At 38.6% G+C, this 26,850-nt stretch overlaps 1 protein-coding gene and 1 long non-coding RNA gene across 3 annotated transcripts in view, besides 1 other annotated feature; one reads left to right on the forward strand and one right to left on the reverse strand.

The window, feature by feature from the left end:
• CRYBG1 (crystallin beta-gamma domain containing 1) overlaps positions 1-26,850 on the forward strand; it is a 211,301-nt gene that overhangs the window by 90,428 nt on the left and 94,023 nt on the right. For both annotated transcript variants that reach the window (XM_047418270.1, NM_001371242.2), the window contains one exon: positions 550-688. In XM_047418270.1, coding sequence (XP_047274226.1) covers positions 550-688 — 139 coding nt within the window. The remainder of the gene's footprint in view (positions 1-549; positions 689-26,850) is intronic.
• LOC105377924 (uncharacterized) lies at positions 352-6,104 on the reverse strand. Its single transcript, NR_134603.1, has 2 exons — positions 6,010-6,104; positions 352-671 (listed from the first exon to the last, which is right to left on the reverse strand). It is a non-coding gene; the product is annotated as an uncharacterized LOC105377924 (long non-coding RNA).
• Positions 9,762-10,411: an enhancer, noted in NCBI's record as "OCT4-NANOG hESC enhancer chr6:106908781-106909430 (GRCh37/hg19 assembly coordinates)". NCBI's record gives its function as "activates a minimal SCP1, AML or CMV promoter by ChIP-STARR-seq in naive H9 embryonic stem cells {active_cell/tissue: H9 hESC(naive)}" and the evidence as "EXISTENCE:reporter gene assay evidence [ECO:0000049][PMID:30033119]".

A 26,850-nucleotide genomic window follows, 5' to 3' on the forward strand; every position in this document is an offset into this window, starting at 1 on the left:
GGTAGGCAACCATCAGAGTCTGTAAAACATTCTTTCTGCCTTTATTAGTTTCCATTCCTTTTGAATCTGATAAATATTATAATCCTAGGAACAGTTCCCATTTCCTGGCATAGTCTAGATTGTTTCTCTAACTGGGATTCAGTTCCCACTTTATTTCCAGTGTTCAGGAAACTTACAAATTTCTTTTTGTTATTTCTTAAAAGCCACGACATAGAACAACCAGGAAACTGGAAAATGAAATTGGATTACTTTCATGCCAAAATCTGTCTCTCCATCTAGTTTCTGTCTACCTCTATCTATCTCTAATTTGTTTTCTGCATAGGATTTAAAAGAATTCAGTTAGGCACAGGGTGAAGTCATCCAGGTTTATTTATAAATGTGCTATGAGAGCGCCAAATTATCTACAACGCCGTGTAGGTTTTGAAGAATGATTCATTATTTGGGCTGACTGGAAATATATTAATACATGGAGAAATATGCCTTTGGGTTTCTTGAGATTTTGGCATTGTTCATAGTGTATTGACATGACTGTGGTTCCGTTCTTTGCAGAGCTTTGGATGTAGTCGATGGAAAATATGTGGTTCGAGACTCCCAGGAATTTCCACTGCACTGTGGGGAATCCCAGTTCTTCCACACCACCAGTGAGGCGCTTGGTTCCTTACTTCTAGAGTCTGGAATATTTAAAAAGGTAATGCTTCATTTCTAATGTTTGACTCCCAAGAATAAACCCTTTAAAGAGCTAAAGCACTGTAAGATAGCCTGTCTAAGAAACACATACTTAAAAGTAATGGTATATATTGTATATCATAAATTATATATATCATATGTAATATATGTTATATAATATGTATTCTGTAATTTTCTATATAATTATATTTAACAATATAATAATTTATTATGTAATCTATTTTTATATAATTATTATATATATCATATATAACATTATATATCAAAGCACCATGATAATAAAGAATGAGCTTGGCCGGGCCTGGTGGCTCACGCCTGTAATCCCAGCATTTTTGGAGGCAGAGGCAGGCGGATCACTTGAGGTCAGGAGTTTGAGACCAGCCTGACCAACATGATGAAACCCAGACTCTACTAAAAAAAAAAAAAAAAAAAAACAAAAAAATTAGCTGGGTGTGGTGACGGGCACCTGTAATCCCATGTATTCAGGAGGCTGAGGCAGGAGAATCGCTTAAACCCAGGAGGTGGAGGTTGTGGTGGAGCTGAGATCATGCCACTGCACTCCAGCCTGAGTGACAGAGTGAGACTGTCTCAAAAAAAAAAAAAAAAAGAATGAGCTTAATAAATGAACTTGACTCTTTGCTTTTTGCTGCCTTCAGGTGTCTTCCTCCTTGTAGGTGCCTTTTGCGCGCCCTTTTTTCTTTTATACAAACTGGGCTTTAATGCAAAGGCATACAGATTAATATGATGTCAATATTTGGAATTAATTGTTCTTTCCTATAAAAAGCACTTATGCTTTTTTCTACTGTAAGGCATTTTCAGTTATTTTATCAATAGTTACTTCTTAATATCTAGATGCTTGTACAGAAAGTTCTGACTTAATTATATTGCCTTAAAAGAAAAGTTTTCTCCAAGGTGGGAGATAGAGAAATGTACTCATGTTAACTGCATTCCTTCACTTGTAGAAAGACATTACTCATGCACTTACTTGTCTGCAGGATGGGAAAGTAGAATGATATCTTTAGTCACAGGGTGAGTGAGAGCTAGTTTAGCTGCCAGGCCTGAAGGTTGTATAATACATTTCTTGTTATAACTTATTATAAGATCAATGAGGGTTAATAGTGAAATATATTTGTCATGAAAGAAATGCTCTCCTCCATCCCAAAAGACATTTGCTTTAGTAATACCATATATTAACGGTTTAAAAAATTACTTAGCATGAGATAGAAAGAGTTCTGGAGATTGGCTGCACAACAATATGAATGTACTTAAACTACCGTTAGTGTAGTTAATATATTGATCTGCATAGTTCTGTATAGTTAAAAATGGTTAAGATGGTAGATTTTGTTATGTGTATTTTACCACAATTAAAAAATGTTAAAGCTTACTTAGTGATGAAAAGCAGTAAAAAGGACATGAAGAGATTATTAGCTTATATTTTATATTTCATTAGAACATGACAAAAGTAGGTAGTGAAATTCAATACAGAATGCTTGGTAACTCAAAATAGCATAATATCAATAAGGGTACCAGAAATATAAAACATTTTATAAGATATTGAATTTTAAAACCAAATTTAAATTTAAAAAATTAAGTAAACTGGCTTACCGTACTTTATACTTACTTTCAAGTTGGTTTCACATTTTATTCTTTTCTCTTTATAAGAAATAATTTTTAACTAGGGGAAAAAAAACCCTGATAAACCCAGTCATTGGCCCTAGCCAGAGTTTCAAGTTGTTTCCTATATTTTTCCTTCAGTAAGTATGCCTTTTATAACATAAAACAAAAATAATTATTTGAGCATAATGCAATTACATATCCTATAATGTCTGCTGAAGTCCAGGAAAAAATTCGTGGCAGTGTTCAGAATTGAGGCAAAAAACAAGTTCCTTGAGGTAGGTGGCAAGGAAGGGTCTGTTGTGGCCTCCCTTGCAAAAAGCTCTGGGCATTGGGCTGCCCACAGGAGCAGCCCCAAGGCCAAGCCAAAAATGTCAGGGAAGGAAGGAGGCCAGTTGGTATACCTGGGAGAGGCGGAGGCTTGAAGCCGCAGATGAACTGGGATCCCAGTGTAGGGATGGAGCCGGAGCAGGGAGAAGAAGGGCAGGAACTTGAGAGAGCAAGGAGAGGCAGAGTGTGGTTCAGGCGACCCTGTCTCTAAGTGTCACTGGAATGGGGTCAGCCAGGCGCTGTCTCTACTCTCTACTCACTGTAACACACCCTCCACCTCAGAGAGGCTCAAAATCTCTACAACAGAAGAACTGGCTCTGGGAGCCACTTACCATCTGCCTGTTGTCTCCCTCTCTCCCCATCTCCATCATCCCTTCTCCCCTCTCTCTTTTCACCCTTGCTCTCTTAGGCCCTGGCTGTCTTAATCTTTCTCACTCTGCATATCATACCAGGGCCGGGAGGAGGCAAGAGGCAGTACAACAGCCTTTCTCTTCCCCACTGATGTGTTTTCAACTCTGTCTCTTGAGATCATGGCTGAGAGATTTACTGAACCATTAGCTCAGAAGTGCAAGACCCCACCTACCCACCCACACACACACCCCACTACCACCTCCCTGGCCAATATTACTGGGAAACAAATGTTGACTCCATTTAGATTCTGGGTAGTTTATATTCACAGTGAGTTCTAGGGTGCCAGGGGCACCTCCCATACATTCCAAATTACCCTTCTCTGAATCCACTCTCCCCAGTGAGCCTGAGCATTTCCTGCAAGATTCAGCAGGTTTGCGGAGGGAGTTATATCAAGGACCACCAATGACCTTCTTTCCCAGGCAGAATAAATTATATCTATTTACTCAAACTAATGCTCACATTTTTAATTTGCATTATAGCTAGGCAATTTACATTTTCCAAAACAACCAGAATTTACCCATTTTTATAACTGTTCCATATGTTCTATGTTATTGTATTTGTATACTATTTTTAACACGTTGTAACAACATTTCTTAAAGTAGACAATATTGTATTGAATCTTTCAATTAAATTAGAAAACATGCTGGTCCGAGTGCAGTGGTGTTTGTAACTAATTGATCACAACCAGTTACAGATTTCTTTGTTCCTTCTCCACTCCCACTGCTTCACTTGACTAGCCTTAAGAAAAAGACATTTACTATACCTGCTTGTATAAACAAATACGGATTTATAGTTACAAATACAATATTGCCTCTCAAATTTACATATACAACAACTACAGGAAAAAGTGTAACTACAAATTAGAATATTGCTAGAATTTAAATCTTAAGTTAGAAAAATCATCAGGGATTGTATATTTATTTATACAAAACAAGTTTTCCTTTAAACAATTGCATTAAATATTTAGTTGGCTTTAGCGTAGAAGGTATGTTTATTTAAAATATTTATATTTCTAACAGACCATTTTTTTCACGAGAGAAAAGCATAAGAAAGTGGTATCATTAAATAAAAACATATCATGTATTATGTGACAAACACGAATTGGATAACTCTTTGCATATAAGAGTGAATTAACATTGTAGATTATTATGTGTTTTTTGTATTTATTTTCATATATCTACTTATATTTATTATGTTATATTTATTGCTTAACTCATTTTGGAAGTGCAAATGTCTTGATTCCACTATGAGGAGGTATTTCCAGGACATGAAGAGATACCCTTTATGAATTAAAGTGTTTCTTTAAAAAAAAAAAGGAACAAGAATATTGAGTAATGTATTATTAATTAAAATATAATATCTTCAAAGAGAGTACTTGCCTTAATGAGAATTTCAATGATTTCTAGTATAAAAATATTTTAATCCTCCTTGAATTCTAATCACTTATTTTCATCTAGAAATTATATGTGACTATAGTGATTATAAATTAAATTGTCATATTTTCAATTATTCTCGCCTCACATTCAAACAAGTAAAATGGAATAAACAGTAATTATTTTATTAATTCAAGCAAAAAAAGGTTTTTTGCTTTAACCGTTTGGATCTTTTCCTTCTTGGTGGCCTGAATAAAGCTGCTGTTTCCCATTTTCTACTAGTGCATGTGTGTGCATGTGTAGAAGTTTGTGTGTGTACTTTTTAGGAAGAAAATTAAGCCTCTCCTTCCCCCTCAAAACAAAAGTAACTCTAATCTATAGACTATTGCTAAATCACTGCTGCTCCTTTATAAGTCACTTGTCTGAATCTTAGTTCTTGGTGATGCTTGTCTGCCCCATCATTCAGGAAACATCTGTGAATCTTTAATCTCACTCTTGAGATTGTGATGCTCCCAAATCATCCAAAACAAAGAAGTATCTGCTTTATTCTCAACTATCTCAGTGGTTCTAACCACTATTGTTTTTGACAGCTTGTTTTTGTTTTTGTTTTTTGAGACGGAGTCTCACTCTGTCGCCCAGGCTGGAGTGAAGTGGTGTGATCTTGGCTTATTGCAACCTCTGCCTCCCAGGTTCAAACAATTCTGCTGCCTCAGCCTCCCTACTAGCTAGGATAACAGACATGTGCTACCATGCCCAGCTATTTTTTTTTTTTTTGTATTTTTAGTAGTGATGGAGTTTCACCATATTGGCCAGGCTGGTCTTGAACTCCTAACCTCAAATAATCTGCCTGCCTCAGCCTCCCAAAGTGCTGGGATTACAGGCATGAGCCACTACACCTGGCCTTAACAGCATTTTTCATTGCCCAGTTAATCTTATAATTATAGAGGTAGTATGTTTGCCAGTTTCTAGCCTGGTTATTCTAATTTAGTCAATAAGCAGAGCAATTCAGTTCAACAAACATTGGTTGAGGTAGCAGAGAGGAAAAAACATTTTCTAATCCTTTTGTTTTCCATGTTTCCCAGGTAGGTGGTCACTTTGAGAGGTGATCTATCCCTCTGTTTCATTTCTCTTCTAACTCCTGTTATTTCCTCTTCTTTCTCTTTATGCCTGTTCCACAAAGGTCCACTGGTGTTTCTCTCAGTGCCCAATACCCAATCTCACCTCGTTTCTTAGACTAAACCAAAACTAAAATATAAAGTATTTAAGGGGCCTCAGACTCATTGACCTCACCCCAAACCTGCTCCATCCCCTGGGCCATATCTTGTGACTCCTCCACTGTTGGGCTGGCCTAGGACACAATACATCAACATTATCACTGGGCACCCACATTGTGTCTCAAGTCACCTAGGCTGCTAATCTCACCAAGCACAGTTCTCAAATCATCCTACAAGAAGTAAGACCTCCCCAGATCTTGAAGTCCAACCCACAACCCTGCCATTAGGAGGTTTACTAACTGTTTTAGTCTATTTTCTGTTGCTTATTAAATAATATCTAAAATGGGTTAATTTATAAGAAAAAGGAATTCATTTCTTACAATTCTGGAGGCTACATCCAAGGTCGAGGGGCCACATCTGGTGAGAGCCTTCTTGCTGGTAGGGACTCTCTACAGAGTCCCAGGGCAGTATAAAGTATTACTTGGAGAGGTGACCGAACATGCTAATGTGCTAGCTCAGGTCTATCTGCCTTTTCTTTTAATGCCACCGGTTCCCCTCCCATGATAATTTATTAACCCATTAACTCATTAGTTCATTAATCCATCAATGAATTAGTCCATTCATAAGGGCAGAGTCCTCATGACCCAATCACCTCTTAAAGGCCCCACCTCTCAATATTGCCACACTGGGGTTTAAATTTCCACATGAGTTTTGTAGGGGACAAATATTTAAACCATAGCACTACCTAAGGTTAGAACTTCTCCATAGTGACTTACTTAAAGGACTTACTAGTGTCATCCATCTGGACACCCCAGCACTTCTATTGGGATGTCATTTTAAATGACTTGTGCCATCTGGTGTGATTAGAGATTGCTGAGCCCTTGGACCTACCTTGTCCCAAATTTCTGCTTTCATCAGCAGTCAGATCTTGCCATCATTTCACACCACCCCACTCTGGAACCTGTTCTATCCACATGGGTAGATCTAGTACCTAGCTTAAATCTCTCTGCCTTTCCATAGTGTCTGCTTTGTAGGAGTCCCTATGTGCTCTATCAGTGCTGATCCAACAGGTCAAATACACTTAGGGGAAAAAATGGAAAATAGAGAGCAATGTATATAGCATGTTATATTTTGTGCAAAACGGGGGAATAGTGTGTGTATACATATATATGTAGATGCATTAATAAACTATGGAAATATACATTAAAAACTAATAATAATTACATGTGGTAAGGTGATAAGGGTGGGGGAAATAAATGTAGGAAACACAAGCCTTTTACTGTGTACTTTTTAATACTTTTATTTTTGAGCTATGTGAAAGTATTGCCTATGCAGAAATTTTCTGAAGACGGAGGAGTGGTTTAAGTTGTATTGTGACTAAAGTTAAATTGAAATGGTTTAGGTATCCATGTCTAATTGTTAATGATTTTCTGATGTGCTGTAAACTATGCAAACAATCCTGATTGCATTGTCAGAAGGCTACTGTTGTTTCCAAGTTACCTTACTGGGCCATTCTACTCTTTTTGCACAGACTCTTTCCCATGCCTACAAAGTTTTTCCATTTTTTATGCAGCTGCAGTCTTCTACTCGTCCTTTAAGATCCTGCTCAAACAGCTCCTTTTTTGTGATCTCTGCCCCAGGAAAGTTGTTTATTTTCCCCTGTGTTGCCACTTACCTTGAATGTACCTTGAACTCAGTACTTATTGTACTGATTTACAAGTCTCCTTCCTTGTCAGACTAGGAAGCCCTAAGGATCAGACTGCATTTGTATGACTGGAACATTATTTATAAATTTTTTTTCATGAATGAAATGCATATATTCACAGTTTTTTAAAAAGTAGAAAATACTGCTGTAACAAATGCACAGTATTTCAGTTCTAGTATGAACTTTACTTTTGTTTAGGCTTTTGAAGGTAGAGCAGGAAATCTCACCAAATACAAACACATAAGCCTGCTGCGTGCAGCAGAAAGAGAATAAGGTAGTTTCCAGAGCATGATACCACCCTTCTCCTCCCGCACATGGGACGTGGAGGTGCCAAGATGCAGGTGAACACAGAGCACAGTGGCATAGGAAGCAGTTCACTGTCCCCAGAAAAACCTGATATTACTGAGTGCAGCAAGCAAGAGCTGCCTTTCCGTACACACACAGGTTCACAAGTTGGGCATTCTCCAGGCTGGAGGACGTTGCTTTGGTATCCTAAGTATGGCATTAAAGACTGGGACACTATATCTCATGGCACACTATATCTCATAAAAGCTAGATATCTTATATTGTATGAAAAAGATTGGTTGCCTATGTATAGCCAGCTTTGGAAAAATCCAGGTTATCTATATTTATTTGTGATGTTTCCATTTGAAGGTATTATGGTCACCAGGATGTAACAGGAAAGCTCAGTGAGTGATGTGTTTTGCTTTCCACCACAAGTAATGTGTTGTCTTCTTTGAGGCACTGACTATGGGTGCTCTTTATTTACATATGTATAAATAAACATATAAATATACAGCAGCCAGTCCATTTCCTGTATTAACTCAAATTAGAAGGCTTTATCTGTTGTAGGGTGTTTTTTTAAGAAGAGCATGGTAATATATTTGTTATTTCTCTTCTAAATATTATATTAGCTTGCTGCAAAAAAAAATTCCAAGAATACTAAACTCATAAAATAAAGACTTAAATTCTTTCCTCACCCTGAGAGGTAACTATTTTGGTATGCCTCTCAGGGTAAGGAGAGAAAAAAGTCTAAATGGACTAAACAGAGTTAGTCCATTTGTGGGTTTTTTTTTTTTTTTTACTAAGAAATCTTTGTGATCATCTTCCCATGTCAGTCTCTATAAAAATGCCTCTTTAGAATTGCTGAGTAGTGTTCCATATGTAGAATATGATGGATGTACTATCACATAGTTTACCACTCTTTATTTGTGAACATTTGAGTTGCTTCTACATTTTTTTTCTTTTATAAACAACACCATCTCTATGCTTTTTTTGGTCAGTTATTTTTGCGGGATAAATTCCCTAGAAGTGGAATTGCTGAATCAAAAGCTTGCATATTTAAAAATGTAATAGATACTATCAAATTGTCCGTTGAAAAAGGTTTATCAACTTACACTTCCAACAGTAAATAAGTCTGTTTTCCCACCACTTTATGAATGTTATATATACTAATATTTTCATTTTGCCAACCTGTTGGTACCTCATTGTTTAAATTTGCAGTTCTTCAACTAAGAATGAGTCTGAGCTCTTTTGTTTTTGTTTGTTTGTTTGTTTGTTTTTTTGAGACAGAGTCGCCCAGGCTGGAAGCTCTGCCTCCCGGGGTCATGCCATTCTCCTGCCTCAGCCTCCCGAGTAGCTGGGACTACAGGCGCCCGCCACCACGCCCGGCTAATTTTTTTTTTTGTATTTTTAGTAGAGACGGGGTTTCACTATGTTAGCCAGGATGGTCTTGATCTCCTGACCTCGTGATCCGCCCGCCTCTGCCTCCCAAAGTGCTGGGATTACAGGCGTGAGCCACCGCGCCCAGCCAGTCTGAGCTCTTTTGTACACTTATTGGCCACTTGTATTATTTCTTCACTGAATTATCCTTTCATATTCTTTGCTCATTTTTGTATTGCGTTGTTTACCTTGCTGAAGATATTGTGCTAAAGTGATAATCATTGGTATTCAGAGCTGATCAAAATTATATTTTTATATGGGACATTTTTATCTTCTTTGTAAGTTTTTTGGAAAATATCTTAGTGTGCTGTTATCCAGTCAGGGTTTAAATTTGTTGTGTGTTTATGGGGGTGGGGAATTGTGAGGGGGAAAAATTGTAATGAGAAACCCAGAACGCTGCCCTGCCCTTACTCTAGAGAGGATATCCAGAGATGGGGAGCAGGAGTGGGGCTTTTGAAATCATGTTTTGTGGTCACTCATATGCAATGAAACTAGATGAAGGTCTCAGAAGAGTAACTGAAATGCTCCTCCCTCTCACTCACTCCAGTTCTGCTCCTGCGACTTTCAATCCCTTTGTTTTGTTGTTTTGTTTTGTTTTGTTTTCTTGAGACAGTCTCACTCTGTTGCCCAGGCTGGATTGCAGAGGCTAGGTCTTGGCTCACTGTAACCTCTGCCTGCCAGGTTCAAGTGATTCTCTTGCTTCAGCCTCCAGATTAGCTGGAATTACAGGCACCTGCCACCATGCCCAGCTAATTTTTGTATTTTCAGTAGAGACAGGGTTTCACCATGTTGGCTAGGCTGGTCCTGAACTCCTGACCTCATGATATGCCTGCCTCAGCCTCCCAAAGTGCTGGGATTACAGGGGTGAGCCACCGTGCCCGACCTTTGATCCCTTTGGTTAAAGTAAATTTCTTGCTCTTAACATGAAAAAATATTTACAATTGCCTCTGATTTAAAGCATCAGGAACTGAAAGCATTTAAGTTAAATCCTTTGGGATCCTATTTCCATCTCTAATCAAGACAGGTGACTTTCCTCCAGGAATACTTGAGTGGTAATCACCCTGACCAGCTGCCCATGTAAGGAATTGCTAATGATTCTAAACCATGGGGCAAATACAAAGCTTTATATAAGTGGTAATTACTGTTATTGTTCTCTGACATCCTTACATTTCAAGCTGAGTTCCTTCCAGCAAATGTAGTACAGGAGAAAATTAAAGCTCTGGTGACATCATCCTCATAATAAAGAGGAGTCACTGGCCAGAGATGCTCACTTGTGTTTCTGAGGCCATTGAGAGAGGATCTTATCATCATTTTGACTGGAGAGATGAAAACTTGGGGGTTTGTCTTCTTTTGAGTTGTTATAGGGTCTTTCCTAATCGTGATAGAATATTTGTTTTGGTCAGAAATCCCTCACTGGGGGAACTCCCTTCTATTGCCAAGAAAAAAGGCCACTGGCTGCAGTGACTCACTTGGGACTATTGGCACCATATTGGGGTGCACATGTAGCTCCGGACACTCCAGCTCTCCTACAAAACTTCCTGTTCTCTCTCGGGAAAAATAGGAAGGCTGATCCGATCCAGAGCCTCCATGGGGGGTTCAACCTGCTGTGGGTGTGGCTGTGGCAGGTGCAATGGGTGTGCTAATAATCGCAGCAGGAACATTGACTCTCGGCATAGGCGTCCTGACTCCTGGAATCGACATGAAAATCCCAGAAACAGGTACTATGACCGGGATCTTGAGGTAAGTCCTTGATGAGGAAATCCTTCTGAGGCATTGATTTGTCCAATATTTCTTTAGTGATGTTTGAGTATTGATGATTGTCAATCAGCATGTATTAATATTATGCAAGGCTAACTAAGTATTTCAGTCTCATATATTTGAAAATATCCTGGCAACTGTCTATTAAGATACTCATTTAGCTATTCTTTTTTTTCTGAAGTTTTTTGTTTGTTTGTTTTTTGTTTTTTTGTTTTGTTTTGTTTTGTTTTGAGACGGAGTCTCGCTCTGTCGCCCAGGCTGGAGTGCAGTGGCGCTATCTCGGCTCACTGCAAGCTCCGCCTCCCGGGTTCACGCCATTCTCCCGCCTCAGCCTCCCGAGTAGCTGGGACTACAGGCGCCCGCCACCATGCCCAGCTAATTTTTTGTATTTTTAGTAGAGACAGGGTTTACGCCGTGGTCTCGATCTCCTGACCTCGTGATCCGCCCACCTCAGCCTCCCAAAGTGCTGGGATTACAGGCGTGAGCCACCGCGCCCGGCCTTTTCTGAGTTTTAAACAGTGTTTTTGCAGCTGGTTAGAGTTTAACTAGCAAAGTAAGTAAAAGTAGTTCCTGCTGGGTTACGTTCTCTGAGACTTAGCCCTTACACCAAGTTTTTCAGAACCTCTAATGCTAGAGAAAGAAACAAGCTACTTTATATTCTCTCAAAAGCCACTTTCCTTTGGGCTGGGCTCATTTGCAGCATACCAAGTTCTTATTTGAATCATATGGTAATAAATCACAAAGATGCTTTGAGAAGTGGAATAATTAGTTTAAGATTCTGCATCAACAGCTCATAATTGCTTTGTGTATACTGGACTTGACAGGTGATGTTGTCTTAAGATTGAGTGGCGAATCAAGATCTTAACCCAGACTTTACTCATTATCCCCAATTCCTGTTTGTAAAAGCTAATGTGGACAGGCTCAGTGGCTCACACCTGTAATCCCAGCAGTTTGGGAAACCAAAGCGGGAGGATTGCTTGAGGCCAGGAGTTTGAAACCAGCCTGGGCAATAAGCAAGACCCTATCTCTACAAAAAAATTTTAAAATTAGCTAGGTAAGGTGGCCCATGCCTGTAGTCCTAGCTATTTGGGAGGCTCAGGTGGGAGGATCTCTTGAGCCAGAGAGTTCAAGGTTGCAGTCAGCTAGGATGGCACCAGTACACTCCAGCCTGGGTGATAGAGAAAGACCCTGTCTCTAAAAAACAAAACAAGCCAGTGTGCTGTTTTAGTATTAAATCTTCTGTCCTGTGCTATTCGTACAAATAAACCTGAGGCAGGAAAGAAAAAAAAAAAAACAACAACTTCTGTCCTACTTTGTAAAGTGGGAGGTGGCCATCACCACCAGCCTGAACTCACCTTTGATGCTTGTTTTTCCTTCTCTTCTCTACTTGTAATAGTATACATTTGCTTTGTTTTGCACATGATGCCTTTGAAGCTATTGGATGGAATGTGTAGAATGTTTGTCACCCTAGTTTTGTAATGTGTTCTAGGAAAAAGCATGCCCTTTAAACTTATGATCTATTCTTTATTTTCCCTCTCAGGGTGCTGATTATCATATAACCCATAATTTAATGAAATAGGTAATTGATTTTAAATATATGTGTTTGTATGTGTATAGATATGTGTGTGTATGAAGCACACTTTTGAAAAACATCTGAATGCTGAAGTGACAGTTGGAGATGGAATAAAACATTTGATGTTGGCAGTTTGTTGAGCATATCAGTCAGATAAAGCCTTTAGTTGTTTCTTGCATTTAAGACTGCAGGAAAGGGATTTAGTATTTTAATTATTCTGTTTATTCCCATGACTACTGATTTTACTCTCATTTTCTGTTAGTGGACCTTTGATGTCACTCTGCCATTGTGCCTAATGACTCTTTTAGAAGCTTTAGTCAAATACCAGCTACAGAGAGGCCAAAAAGTCACTGTGTGTAGATTCATGTCCATGGCTAATTATTGGTTAATTATCAGTTACCAGTAGATATTTTAAATAATTTTCAACCAGTCACATGAAAGAAAATCCCCAGAAAAACATGGGGAAAAACCAAAATGTGTGAGTGGAGGACAAATGGACAACTGTAATTTAAATGCTTAGAGCCTTTGTGACAACTTGTGGTTGTGGGACAGCTCTCAATGTGACAAACACAACCAGCAAGAGCAGCTGCAAGGCAACCTGGGTCTTCTCCGTAGACACTGGGCCTGTCTAATCGAACGCTCTTCTTGACTTCAAACAAAGATCTTAGAAATCTAAAAGTTGGCCAGGCGCAGTGGCTCACACCTGTCATCCCAGCACTTTGGGAGGCCAAGGCGGGCGGATCACAAGGTCAGGAGTTCAAGACCAGCCTGACCAACATGATGAAACCCATCTCTACTAAAAATACAAAAAATTAGCCGGGCATGTTGGTGCGCGCCTGTAATCCCAGCTACTTGGGAGGCTGAGGCAGGAGAATTGCTTGAACCCGGGAGGCAGAGGTTGCAGTGAGCCAAGATTGTGCCACTGCATTTCAGCCTGGGCGACAGAGTGAGACTTTGTCTCAAAAAAAAAAAAAAAATCTGAAAGTCAACATGCTATTCATGGAATAAGATCCCTAAATAATGAGAAACTTTTTCCTATTTGATTTTGTTTCATTAGAATCTTAAAATGAAGATTTCCAACTTAGAAAATGAGAGAATTAGGGACTGTTCTGAGCATTGATGCTATAACTTCTAATTTAAAGCATTTCCCTAGTGATGACAGTACCATTAAAACCAGTGCAGAGGATTTTGCCCTTAGCTTTCGCTCATAACCTTTGCCTTAAATAACTAAAAAGAATATCAAAATACTTCTTCCGAGAATTAACTTCAAAGAGTTTAGAGAATTAAGTGATATTTCACCAAAATATATATGTTAATTCAAAATATTGAATTTGTTCAGATATTTTACAAAATGACAATATGCATCATAAAAATAAAAAATACCCTTAAAACATCTTCTTTGCTTTTCTATTTTATTTTAAAATGGCACTTATCTAAACTGGCAATAGTAATCCAGTAAGTATCTGTGAATGCAAAAAATATACCTGATCAATATTTATTCATCTTTAAAACTCTGATTAAATATTATCTTATTTGCGAAGTTCCCCTAATTCCCAGCTGGCATTGTCTGACATCTCCCATGTTCTCATGGAATTTTGTAATATCTCAAATAATTTATCCATATTATTATTCGGAAATTACATCTCTTCTCCACGTGACCTTTTGCCTCTCCAGGGCGGGGAACTAACATCTTATTGACACCTATTACAGTGCCTGGCATATAGAAGACTGTAAAACTGAAGTATAAAGCACTGAATATGGCCAAAAGACCAGAGTTGCGATTTCAGCTCTTCTCCAGACGGCCTGTGATGTCTTAGGTTAAGTCATTCATCCTTTCTGGGCATCAGCTTTTGTATCTATAAAAGAGGGAATGGGAATTGGATTAGATAGTGCTCTGTGGAGCCCTAGGCATTCCTTTGAGGTACCTCAGGGCTGCAACAGGAGGAAGGAGGAAGCTGAGGGGAGAGGAACTCAGGCTTGCAAGCTCCATACCATGTCTTCACTCAGAGAAGCTCATCTCTATCTGTTTTGACAGATCGCTGAATCCGTGTAGATTTCTTTGGAGTAAAATGTTGTACTGCTGGAAAAAAATCTTAAAAACAACTGGACTAGATTATGTATAATGTTTTTCCACCTCTAGTATCTAAGATTTTATGTAACCGTTTTATTAATTCATCTCATTATTATGTTGCTTTTTAAAAGAAACTGTATCACATTGTTATCATTAACTTGTTATTTATACCCTGCCCTCTCAAATACAGGTCTTTTTTTGCTCTATTTTTACTTAGCCAGCTTGTCTTTTATATCTTGTAATTACTCTTTAAACCTGAGCAAGTTGCCCATCCCTATTGGATTTTCTTTAGTTTGTAGAATCACTCAAATTTAATGAATTGTTTTGAATTTTATTCTTATCTATCTGTGCATTAGCAACCTTAAATATCTAGATTCATCCCTTCCTTCCAGTCATTTGTAAAGTCACTGAATAGAATGATATTCAAGTTGAAATTACTGGGGGCACAGATATTTGAACAAGCTAGTATTCTGACCTTCCTATGTTGCTAGCTGATCTTGCAAATGAGTTGTCTTCTCTACCTTCATATTCTTTAAAAAAGGATATTTGAAATAGCAAATATTTTCAAGGTTACGAGTAAATATTCAATGGCTATCACCCAAAGTACTAAGTGCAGCCTGCCATGTTTTCACAGCATAAATAGTAATGAAGGAATTAGTAGGTGGATTACAGGAGAAACAGAAAGGAGCACCAGAAGGTCAAAGTATATAAATAAGGAGAGGGATTCAAGTACCCATGTGCTCAACATTCATTCAAAGCTCACTGAAAGTCCCTAGTGCTTCTGCAATTTTAATGCTAACATTCTGCCAGTGGCTTATCCTTTGTTCCTTATGTTTGGTACATGTGCTATTTATTTATTCACTTCGTGCCTGTTAATGAGGTGTCTTGGGAGTTTCTTCTTTCAGCAAAAATGGAAGGGAATGAAAAGGGAATTGTTGGAAGTACATTAACTAACTTTGTTACATACATTACCGACAACTTAATCTAAACCAAGCCTTTAGAAATGAAAAATAAACTAATTTTATTTATGAATAAAGGAAAAGATAGTGTATTTAGTTGCATTTAATACTGTGTTGTTCTTTCTGTCTTACAATTAGGAAAGGTATCAGAATCAAGGTATCAGTTGAAGACATAAGAGAACAAGTTAAGTAGAATGTGTTTGGCTACAGAGAATGGTACAGAAAGGAACCTTAGGAAGTAGAATTTTTTTAGGAATAAGTGTAGGGTAGAGCCCAATCTTTAAATTCAGACAAAGAAATTGCTGTAAGATTTTGAGCAAAGACATATTTGTGATAAATGAAATATTTCAGAGATGGCATTAGTATTTCTGACATGATGGAGGAGTTGGGTATAGAGAAATAAAAAGCTTTGAAAGCAGATGGGAACTGAAATCTCAGAAACCGACTGAGAGGCCGCTAAAACAGTATGGGCTTGTATTAAGATAGAGGCTGTTGAGTGGGATGAAGTCAAGAGATTTCATGATAAATTACATGTAGAAGCAAAAGTGGATAGAACAAAAAGATTTTAGTAGTTTAGGAAGCTAGAAAAATGGTGTTCCTGGTAACAGATGAAATTCTTGGCTGAGCACGGTGGCTTATGTCTATAATCCCAGCACTTTGGGAGGCTGAGGCAGGAGAATTGCTTGAACTCAGGAATTCGAGACCAGCATGAGCAACATGCTGATTTTGGAGAGATCTTGTCTCTCCAAAAACTAAAAAAATTAGCCTGATGTAGTGGTATGTACCTATGTTCCCAGCTACACAGGAGGCTGAGGCAGGAGGATTGCTTGAGCCCAGAAAGTTGAGGCTGCAGTGAGCCCTGATCAGGCCATTGCACTCCAGCCTGGGCAACAGAGTAAGACCCTGTCTCAAAGAAAAGAAAAAAGAAAAGAAAACAAAAAGAGAGAAAGAAAGAGAAAATAAATTCTTCATAAAGGGAACCTGCTTGCAAGGACAAATCCATTTATTCTTTTAAGAAAATGTTGACTTTGAAGTAGTAACTTGAAAACCAGGTAGAAAGTTTTAAGACTAACAGAGCAGTACAGAGAAATATATTTAGAATATCATAAGAACAAATTAGAAAGAGAAGAATTTCTAAGCTTTTTCTCTTACTTTTTTTTTTGTAAATTAACATCAAAATTTATTTGCCAGCAAAATCTGACCTGAACTGATATGAGGTAATTTATTGCCTTTAATTGTCCCACTAAGAGTAAACAGTTATACATTTTTGCTGCAGGAATATTGACATATTATGATATTTGCATATAGTACATTTCCAAAATCTGAATATTCCTACTTTTTAAGTACTTCTGGCCTCAGTGAGCTTTTCACCAGGGATTATGGTCCTGAAGTAGGTTTAGAGAAAGAGTGGCAGGGAGGGTGTCTTAAATGAGGGAGTCTTACAGAATCACACATAACTGGGGGTCATCTGTAAGTGTTGAATAAATGGTGAGAGTGGAATACATGATTAAACTGAAAAAAGACAAATATGATACTCACACCAGTAGAAAGTAAAAAGTAAAAGAGGAAATTAAAGAAATAGCTAATGAAGAGGATTTTGGATTTGGCAAGAAGAAGGATATTGTTGAATCTGTCCAGCTCTTGACAGTTTCGGGAGTCGAGGAAGATAAGCAATAGGAACTGGAGCAGGAGCCTGAGCTTTACGTACAGGTTGAAAGAGGGGTAAACCCTGGGAAGGGAAAGGTTAACGGCTGTCAAAGGGGTAGCACAGTTAAGGGAAGGGCTGCATACTAAGATGGGACAAACTAGGCAGTTTTAGAAGCTGGCGGGAAGTCATCAGGAAATTGATGGCTGTCCAAAGGCCCAGGATGAATTAAACACTATAAATCTAAAATCCAGATGTGTGCAAAGTACTATTTGGCCGTGACTATCTTCTTATTTAACACAATCTAAAATTTCCTAATCCACAAAAATGTGAATTAGCCGGGCATGATGGCGTGTGCCTGTAGTCTCAGCTACTGGGGAGGCTGAGGTAGGAAGACCAATTGAACCCACTAGATGGAGGCTGCAGTGAGCCATGATAGTGCCATTGCACTCCAGCCTGGGTGATAGAGTGAGACTTTGTCTCAAAAAATCATAATAAAATTTAAAAGTGGCATATTTTTACTCTCCCAGAAAACATGTAGATGTGATACATGAAATGCACACAAAAAATCATTTGTCATTATTTTTCCCAATAATATGCAAGTAGTGATTCCAGAACCATCTAAAGACAAAACACGACATTGTAAGGGTCTCCTAATTGGTCTTCTTGCCCCCTTCTTTTGTATTCTTACTCCCTATGCTTCTTTGTACACAGATCAGCCATCTTTTTATCTTTTTACAGGATGAATCAGATCCAACTACTCCTCTGCATGTAACTTTCCCAGTGCTTTCACACACTTGGAAGAGAGCGTTCCATTTCTCTGTGGTTTTACAGGCCCTGCGTGGCCTGGCTCCTGCCCCTGCCCAACTCACTGGCCCTCTCCCCACCACTCACCCCTCACTCTGCCTCAGCCACATGGGAGCAGTTACTTGAACACACAGAACCCTTTCTTGCCTTAGGAATGTGGTATTACCTATTGGCTCTGCCTAGAATGCACTTGCCCCTGTCCTCACAGAACTGATTCCTTCTTATTGGTCACAGCTTAGCTTAAAGTCACCTCTGTAGAAAAGCCACTCAGACATGACTGCCTCAACCTACATGAGTTATTTGCAGAGTACATATTACTGTACGATGTTTTCCTGCTTGCTTGTTGTCTTTCTCTTCTACAATATAAATTCCACAAAGCAGAGATTTTTGTCTCTTTTGTTCATTGCTTTATCCCCATTCCTACTACTATGTCTGGCACATATTAGGTGCTTGGTAAATATTTCTTGAATGAAGAAATGTTTTCTCTGTACCTTTTATTTTCAACTTAATTTCCTTAATGATTTTATTTCTCAAGGACTACTTAATACTTAGTAGGTATTCAGGAGTTTGTTCAATTTTTTGATTTGGTTTGATTTATTGATTTCAGTTGACACAGTAAATAGAGAACATTGCTTCTCTTTTCTACAGTTTTGTAATCGTTGATATTAACCATCCCTGGGCAGTCAAGTCCAAAACCTGTTTTGTTCCCTTGTGCCACAATCTTCCCATCCACTGCCCCACTTAATGGCATTAAAAGAAAAAAAAAGAACTTTCTTTGTAGCTATCTTACATAACAGAAAGTCATTATTTTTGTTAGGAAGCAGTTTTGTAACCAACAGCTTTGACAACTCTGCCCCAAGGCCCATGAAGACTCAGTGTGATGGGAAGGCCTGGAAGAGTTATAGGCAGAGGAGTAGGAGATCTCATTTATGCTATGGGGCTGTCACTTGTGCCGACAGAGTAGAGGGTGGGGAGTGCAGTGTCTCTGCTGAGCATTCAGGCTGCCAGGCCAAGTCCTGACTTTTCCTCGGGGACAGGGCGCTTCCCTCCTCCCTTTGGTCCCCGAGGTGTAGGTGCAGTCACTCCTCTCCAGTCTGCCCAGCAATAAGCTGGTAAACACAAGGTTCTGTGACACACCCAGAAGAATTTAAAATAATTCTCAGAGCCAGGTGTGGTAGCTCACTCCTGTAATCCCAACACTTTGGGAGGCTGAGGAGGGAAGATCCCTTGAACCCCAGGAGGTCAAGGGTGCAATGAGCTGTGTTCACGCCACTGCACTCCAGCCTGGGCAACAAAGGGAGACCTTGTCTCAAAACAAAACAAAACGAACAACCCTCAGCCTACCATTCCTTCATTGGACTGACAAAAAATTGGCTATACCTAAGGAGGAAAAGAAATATAAATTAAAAATTAGCCGGGCGTGATGGCGGGTGCCTGTAATCCCAGCTACTTGGGAGGCTGAGGCAGGGAATTGCTTGAACACAGGAGGTGGAGATTGCAGTGAGCCAATATTGCACCACTGCATTCCAGCCTGGGTGACAGAGCAAGGCTTCATCTCAAAAAAAAAATTATATATATAAATACTTCTGCACTATAAAAAGATGAGTCTAGAGCAGGAACACAAAAGCAAGTATATAATCATAAAAATGAAGTAAGGCAGATCTACTTAGACCGCCTTTCTCAAAGTAATTGACACAGATGCCCTGTGCTCTAACACAGTATAATTAATGTGTATCACTCTTAAAGGGCCACATTGCCTGCCTGTACCATGAAGCATCTTTAGAGTTGGCACTGTACAGTCATTAATTACATGAGCCCCTGAGTTAGGTATCATTATCCCTGCTTTGCAAACAAGGAAAATCAAGGGTGTTGGTGCCTAGACTCTAAGCAGTGTGTGGCTGGGCTCAATAAAGAATCCTGGAATTTCTGACTCTTAGCCTGAACTTGGGTTTTTTGCACTGTGGAGTCAATACATCATTGAAGACAACCAAGTGGAAATAACCCAAATACACATTGTTCTTGCAGTATTTCAGCCCCACCCTTGTAATTTTCTACATGAAAGGAGACTGCTGTCTGTTTGGCATGTTTGAGGGCTGGAGGAGATGGACTGTGGAGCTCAATGAGGAGGATGGCATGGTGAAATGGAAGGGAAATTCATTGCATGATTTCTGGTCTTTAGAAAGGCTACCCAAGCTTGGTTTCTTGAGAATGATTCTAGTCTGCAGGCTGACCATGCAACTTGGCCTTCCCTTCCAGGATGCTCCTGGTAAATCTCAGAAGAAAAGAGCAGACAAGTTTTATCTGTAAAGGAAGTACTCCAGCACAAGGATGTGAAGATCTATGAAAATAGAGCACATGTACACCAATGTGTGGGTCTTCTTTGCAAGCATTTCAGAGGCAGCTGCCTAGTCTGCTGATAGCTAATGCTGGTCTGGTTTCTCCTATTCGGGATCATATCTATTTTAGTCTCCTCTATAAATTATTCAAATGAGCCCAGAAGCCTTTCTGTATCAGATGGGTAAAGAAGTGGCTGGGGATTAATTTCTGAAACATTACCCTCCAAGAAGAATACTTTTAGGACAGTGCTTGGTACAATTTTTTAAGTACAAGTTACTCTCCCAAGCAGGCTGCAGCACTAACAACAAGGTGACAGGTGGAGTGTGGGTCATCCTGGAAGTGACGTGGCAGCCTCTGGGCTATGTCAGTTCTCCAGGCCTCCCCACCCCTACCCCCCAGCCCCACTCCAAAGGGTGTTTTAGCTCTATTAAGCATTCTTTATGCCAGACAGTTAAAAAAAAAAAAAGAAGAAGAAAATTAAGAGTCTTATTTATTGGCATACTATAGACAAAAAGGAAAAGATAGAATATTTTACCCCCTATCTCTCATCTTTGGTCTTATTTAGGGAGATAAGTTTAATAGTAACTATGGAAACATTTCTTTCAACAGATTGAGCTGACCAGTAAAAACTTCACTGATTGAGATATATTTTTCAGCAAAACATACTTACTCTCTGAGCGTTATGCATATGAATATGGCTTTAGCTTCCCTTTTGCAGAGAGAAAAATATCACAGTATCCTATTAAAATTTTTGCAAATATAAACTGTTTCTGCTTTATGTTTTTAATCAGAAGTAGAATTTAGAAAAATAAATTTCATATAGTATTTTTTCTTCACAAAGCTATTAGAGTAGGAACTGATTTGGTTGAATTTTTTTCCTAAGTTAAATCTGAGACTCTCATGAACACAAAGTGTATGTTTTTCATGGAAATATAAATTAAATATTTTGGAGAATTGGATGTCTATAGATAAAGTATAACACTTGGCTGTCTAGAACCTTGGGAAATGAGTTATTCAAAACAACTGAGTTTTATAGATGACATAGTGTTTATCTTGATAGGTTAAACACTTTAAAATGTTTACCATTTTGAATAAAAACTATCTAAAGATGTGTTTGTTTATTTTTCTATTTTTTAAAAAACAGTACACTAAACATTTTTTAGCTTTTTCTTGATGATTCATGATCATTATTATTATTATAGAAAAAGCTTTTTATGGAATTATAGTAATGTTTATTGAGAGCTTATTGAAAAGTATATTCTGGCCAGGCACAGTGGCTCATGCCTGTAATCCCAGCACTTTGGAAGGCCAAGGCGGGCAGATTGCTTGAGTCCAGGAGTTTGAAACCAGCCTGGCCAACAAGGCGAAACTTCATTTCCACAAAATATTAAAAAAAAAAAAAAATTAGCCAGGTGTGGTGGCACGTGCCTGTAGTCCCAGCTACTCGGGAAGCTGAAGTGAGAGAATCACTTGAGCCTGGGAGGTGGAGGCTACAGTGAGCCAAGATTGTGCCACTGCACTCCAGGCTGGGCAACAGAATAAGACTCTGTCTCAAAATTAAAAAAAAAAAAAAAAGAAAGTATATTCTGTTATTACAGTAAATTATCATTTCTGTGTTATTTTTAATAGGCTTTTTCTAAAGTTTCTCTCTTGTTACCTGTCATTTCTTACTTTTGTCAGCACGTACCTTTTCAAATCTTGAGGTTGTGATTAGTATTGTGTTTAGAAATTAGCTAACAGTGCTCATTAGATTGTTCTATAAAGGAGGAATAAAATGGGCTTGGAGTGAGGCCAAGATGCCCTCTCCAATTTTAACTATTCTTTTTCTTCTTAATTATTATAGAAACTTTAAAACATACACAAAATAGAGAGAATAGAATATAAACCACCACCCCACTCCACTTGACTTTCCACATCATCCAGTTTCAACAGCTACCAACTTCTGGGCAATCCTGTTTCCTCTCTACCTTCCCAACTCTTTCATCCCACATCACTCCATAATTGGATTAAAAGCCAGTTCTAGCATCGGTATGAACTCATGTTTAATTTAATGTAGATGCAGATAGTTACATATAGAAATATTGAGATATATTGGTCTATACAGTGGTTAGTATACACAGATATATTTCCTTGCTCCCTCAGCTGAGAGGGCCTAGAAACAGTGATACTCTTAAAGAGAGAACCAGGCGATGGACACAACACAGTGAATCAAAAAGACAGGAGACAACAGGGGGGCAAAAGACATTATACACTATAGAGAGAATGCCACTAACAATATTCTGTGCCCCAGGGATGTTAACCACTGACCTAGATGATCTGTTTTGCCATTCCTTTCTTGAATGGCAAGAATTTTAAATACGGTAATATTCCTGATCTACTCTTAATGCCAACTCTAAACTATGAGGATAAGAGTAAGTCTTCTTTCTCAATTGTTTTCTTACTTCTGTGGCACATGACATAATTTTCTGGACATGTAATTTCAAGACATGTTGGTCTGTTGTCATCTGAGCTAACCATGAAATAGACTTGTCCTACATAAACTGAGATAAACATGTATTTACTTACTCACCGGAATCCAGTGCATAGAGTTTACATATGATTATGTCTTTATAAGAAGAACACTACTTGCTTAGGTTGGAGAATATGACTACATTTGCCAAACTATGGCAAACTAAACTATGACTCAGAAGCTAACTTAGAGTAGGATTGGAAAAACAAAAGAAACTATCTTGTTGATTACACAATGTATCTGTAGTCCTTTTACAAAACTGTATGTTCAGATATTGTCAACACTGACTGTTACACTTTTGCCAGTGTGTTTTTACTATAAACCATCTTGCTGTTAAAATGTCAGCATTTTGCTGGGCATGGTGGTGTGTGCTATTCAGGAGGCTGAGATGGGAGGATGGCTTGAAGCCAAGAGTTCGAGGCTACAGTGAGCTATGATCATGTGCTTACACCTCAGCTTGCATGACAGAGAAAGACCTGGTCTCTAAAATATAATAATAATAATCAGTATTTTGTTGGGAATTGTTATAGTGTATAATAACCTGCATATTTGTATAGTTATGTTTCTCCTTTTTATGTGCTTTCAGAAGAAACTTCTTTTAAAGGCTTAATTGATTTTTTAAGTCATAAAGGTTTTACTTTTTATTTAGTATTTTAAATATGGTAATTTATATGAAGAAGTGAAAAAGAGTAGATTCAATATCTCCCTTAGATCCACGCAAGAGTGTCTTCGCTTTTAAAAGGCCTATGTGTACTTCCGGTCTATCCCTCTGAGGGCAGAGGATGATGTGTCTCTTAGGCAAGAGAGGTGACCAAGGGGAGGCTGTGTGCAGGGAATGTGTCCAGAGCTTGGATGTGCAAGCTGAGTTGTCCATGGGCAGGCGTAGGAGGTCACTTGTAGTGTGGAATGGAGACAAGGGAGGGCAGAGAAGGAGGCAAACCTGAGTTTCAGTTCATTCTGAAGGTAAATTTTTAAAGGCGAGAAATTAGAACACACTGAGTTTGTTAACTTGATTTGAAATTTTAAAATATTTAAACATATGGTATGTGAGCTTCCACTTATGTTCTTATTTCCCTTTTGCCACCAATGTTGGGGGAAAACAGGTAGATTTTTTAAAAACAAAACAAAAAAGATTGGACTCACATGTTCCTAGTTTCTTAATTCTTTTAACCTTTTGATAAATACTCTGTAACGTTGTCTTTGAATTTAACCATGAATTATAGGTGAAAGATTCTACCTAAAGATATATTCCATAAACTTTTAGGTGTTCAGAATAAATATATAAAAATCACCCGAATGTTTCAAATGCCAGATCTTCAAGGAGAATATGGGGGAGGAGAGGGATAACTAAATAATCAGCTAACTGAAACTTACTTACTTATTTATGTGTTTGAGCCACAGAGGGCAGATTTTTAGCCTAAGAAATGTCCCTTGCTCTAAATGAATGTATAAACCGAATGGGAGGGTAAGACAAATGTACACGAAAAAGTTAAAACAGAACAGCAAATATGAAATCAGTGTTACCAGTGATAAATGCTTTAAGAGAAGGATTTCAGTAAGCTTAGGTAGTCAGGGAGGGCTCCTGGGCTGGGCTTTGCTGTGTGAATCAGAGTTGGATTGTCACAGGCAGATGAGGTGATATTTGGGAAGGAAAAGTCATGTGGGCAAAGATAAAGAGACAGGCAAGCACTACGTGTGTTTGGGGAACTGTGAACATACTAATTTAGTTAGAGTGGACGGTCTGTGCGGGTACATAAAAGCAGGATGACTTGAAAGATATATAGTGCTGTCTCTGTTTAAGGCTTTGAGAGTCGGGGCTTTATCCTGAAGAAAGTGGATAGTCACTGAAGGTATCTGAGATACAGATGGTAGGATTAAATCTGTGATTTGGACAGAACAAACAAATGGCTTTGTTTAGATGAACTGGCAGAGGGAAACAAGAGGCAGGCAGACCAGGGGATTCCTGAGCTCATGGACCAGAGAAGAGGCCAAGGATCTGACATTTTAAAGAGATACACGTTTCCTCTGTCACAGAACTTAAAACTCCGTCTAGTGGTTTTCAGAGATATCACCAACAATTTCCACTGTGAACAAATGATAGATGATGAGACAGAATAGAATAGAAAATGAGTACCTGTGTAAGTAGGATAAAAAGTAATACACATTTACCATTTACCACATTCATATTTCATGTCCTCCTAGTGTTTGATGATGTTACTTCTCTAAATGAAGAAAGATAAGCCCCACCTAACTCATATGGAAGTAGATAAAGTATATTTCCAAAATTCAACCTGTGGAATATAATTATCTTAACCTTGTCCGTACAGAGCACAGGGACATGTCTTTAGCCCCAGGTAACAAGAACATGTTATTTTTAATATGAAGATGTCACACGGGTGGGGTGAGCAGCATGGTGGAGAAAGGCACTGGGCACTGGACAGTCTGTGAGTTTGTTCTCGGGATGATCCTTCTGACTGGCTCTAGGATCTGGGGCAACTCATTCACAGCCTCACTTAAGGAGATTAAATTCTATAAACGTCAAGGCCCTTTTCAGCTCTAACATTCTATAATTATATAAGTTAGATCTAACACCAAAAGACCATTTAATGGAATAGATTTCTAAATACACTTTGACTCATACTCTTTGGTTAAATTTCCTGGCAGCTATGACACTAAGGAATGACACAGCTATAGGCTTATCTATGATTAATTGTGGGAAACTTGAGGTGGAGATTTTTTTAATGCTGATTTTGTATCAAGGTTATTCGGTCATTTGGTATGTGAATTATATTCCTCCTCCCCATGAATCACTATTAAAAATAGGTTAGCTTATAGATATAATTCAATAGATCATATTCTTTTTGTGAACTTTTTAGGAACTGCCCATGAGGGACATGAAGTAAGACCAGTTCCCAGTGTAGAACCACACACACCTTGGAAAAGACTAAGAAAGACTATGGCAAATTGGTTTAAAGCATAGATTTTAAAGTCATATCTGCTCAGGTTCAAATCCTAGCACTGCCACTTGATAGCTGTGTGACCTTGGACTAGTTGCTAAACCTTGCTGTGCTTCAGTTTACTCATCTACCTCATCAGGTCATTGTGAGGATACATGTGTTTATTACATGTAAAGTACTTAAAATACCACCTACCATAAGTATTTGGTATTGTTATTATTATTGGACCCCCAGAAAATATTTAGGAAGGCATCCTAGCATACAGAGCTGTAGGCATAATTATGTGAACCCAACATTTCTTTTTCAAGATCAGTTCAGCTGTTTTGGTGATGTGTTTTGGTATTCGTCCCATTGTAATTCCAAAGCCACAAAGATGACGTTGTTTTAATCATTGTTTCATCCTATTTGCATTTTACTAAAGATAAATATATTAAATATTTAGTCTGTATGGGGTACATACTTTTAAGGAGGAATGTTCTACAGAAAAGTACAGAAAGAGGAGGTTTAGAGGCAGAAGAGGAAGTTTAGAGACATGAAGGAAGTGGTTCTTACGTTTGCTTTGTGCTTTCAGTAGATAGTTAATATCCATTTAAAGGATGTTTAGTGGGGGAAAATTCTGCTGGGACTAAAATTTCATGCTTAGCTGAAGCAATGCATCAGGGTTTTTAAGTATAGTTTTATTCAGTCTACTTCATCTTAGTTAACAAACTGAGGTTGGTCTTCAGCCCATAGTTAATGAATTATCTATTACTATTTCAAATTAAACTTCATGTATTTGAGCCTTAGAAAACTCCTAGCAAAACATCTCTCTCTGAGTTACCCCTGGTGATCTGAGCTGTGACCAAATAGCCAAAGAAGAAAAAAAAGGAGACCCATGGACAACGGTTCCGTTCGTGGCCCCATACTCTTCTTTCAGACTCTTGCCCTGTTGGCAAATGACTTTCTACCCAGGTTTTCCTGAATTATCTCTCTGTTTCTCAGTCTGAGAAGGAACCATTTTTGTGGGGTTCATCAGAAGTGGGTGTGAAGGTTTTCTTCCTGTGTAAAGGATCTCACACCATGGAAAGATCTGGAGCACGGAGCTGTGACTGCTTTGGAGGCATGTGCCAAGGCGCCAGTTCCATTGCCACAGGGCAGAGAAAAGCTCAGCAGAAGTTCCTGTCCCTGTACAAAGGAGG

The sequence above is a fragment of the Homo sapiens genome, chromosome 6 (assembly GCF_000001405.40).
Source record: "Homo sapiens chromosome 6, GRCh38.p14 Primary Assembly".
In the NCBI taxonomy this organism is placed as follows: Eukaryota; Metazoa; Chordata; class Mammalia; order Primates; family Hominidae; genus Homo; species Homo sapiens.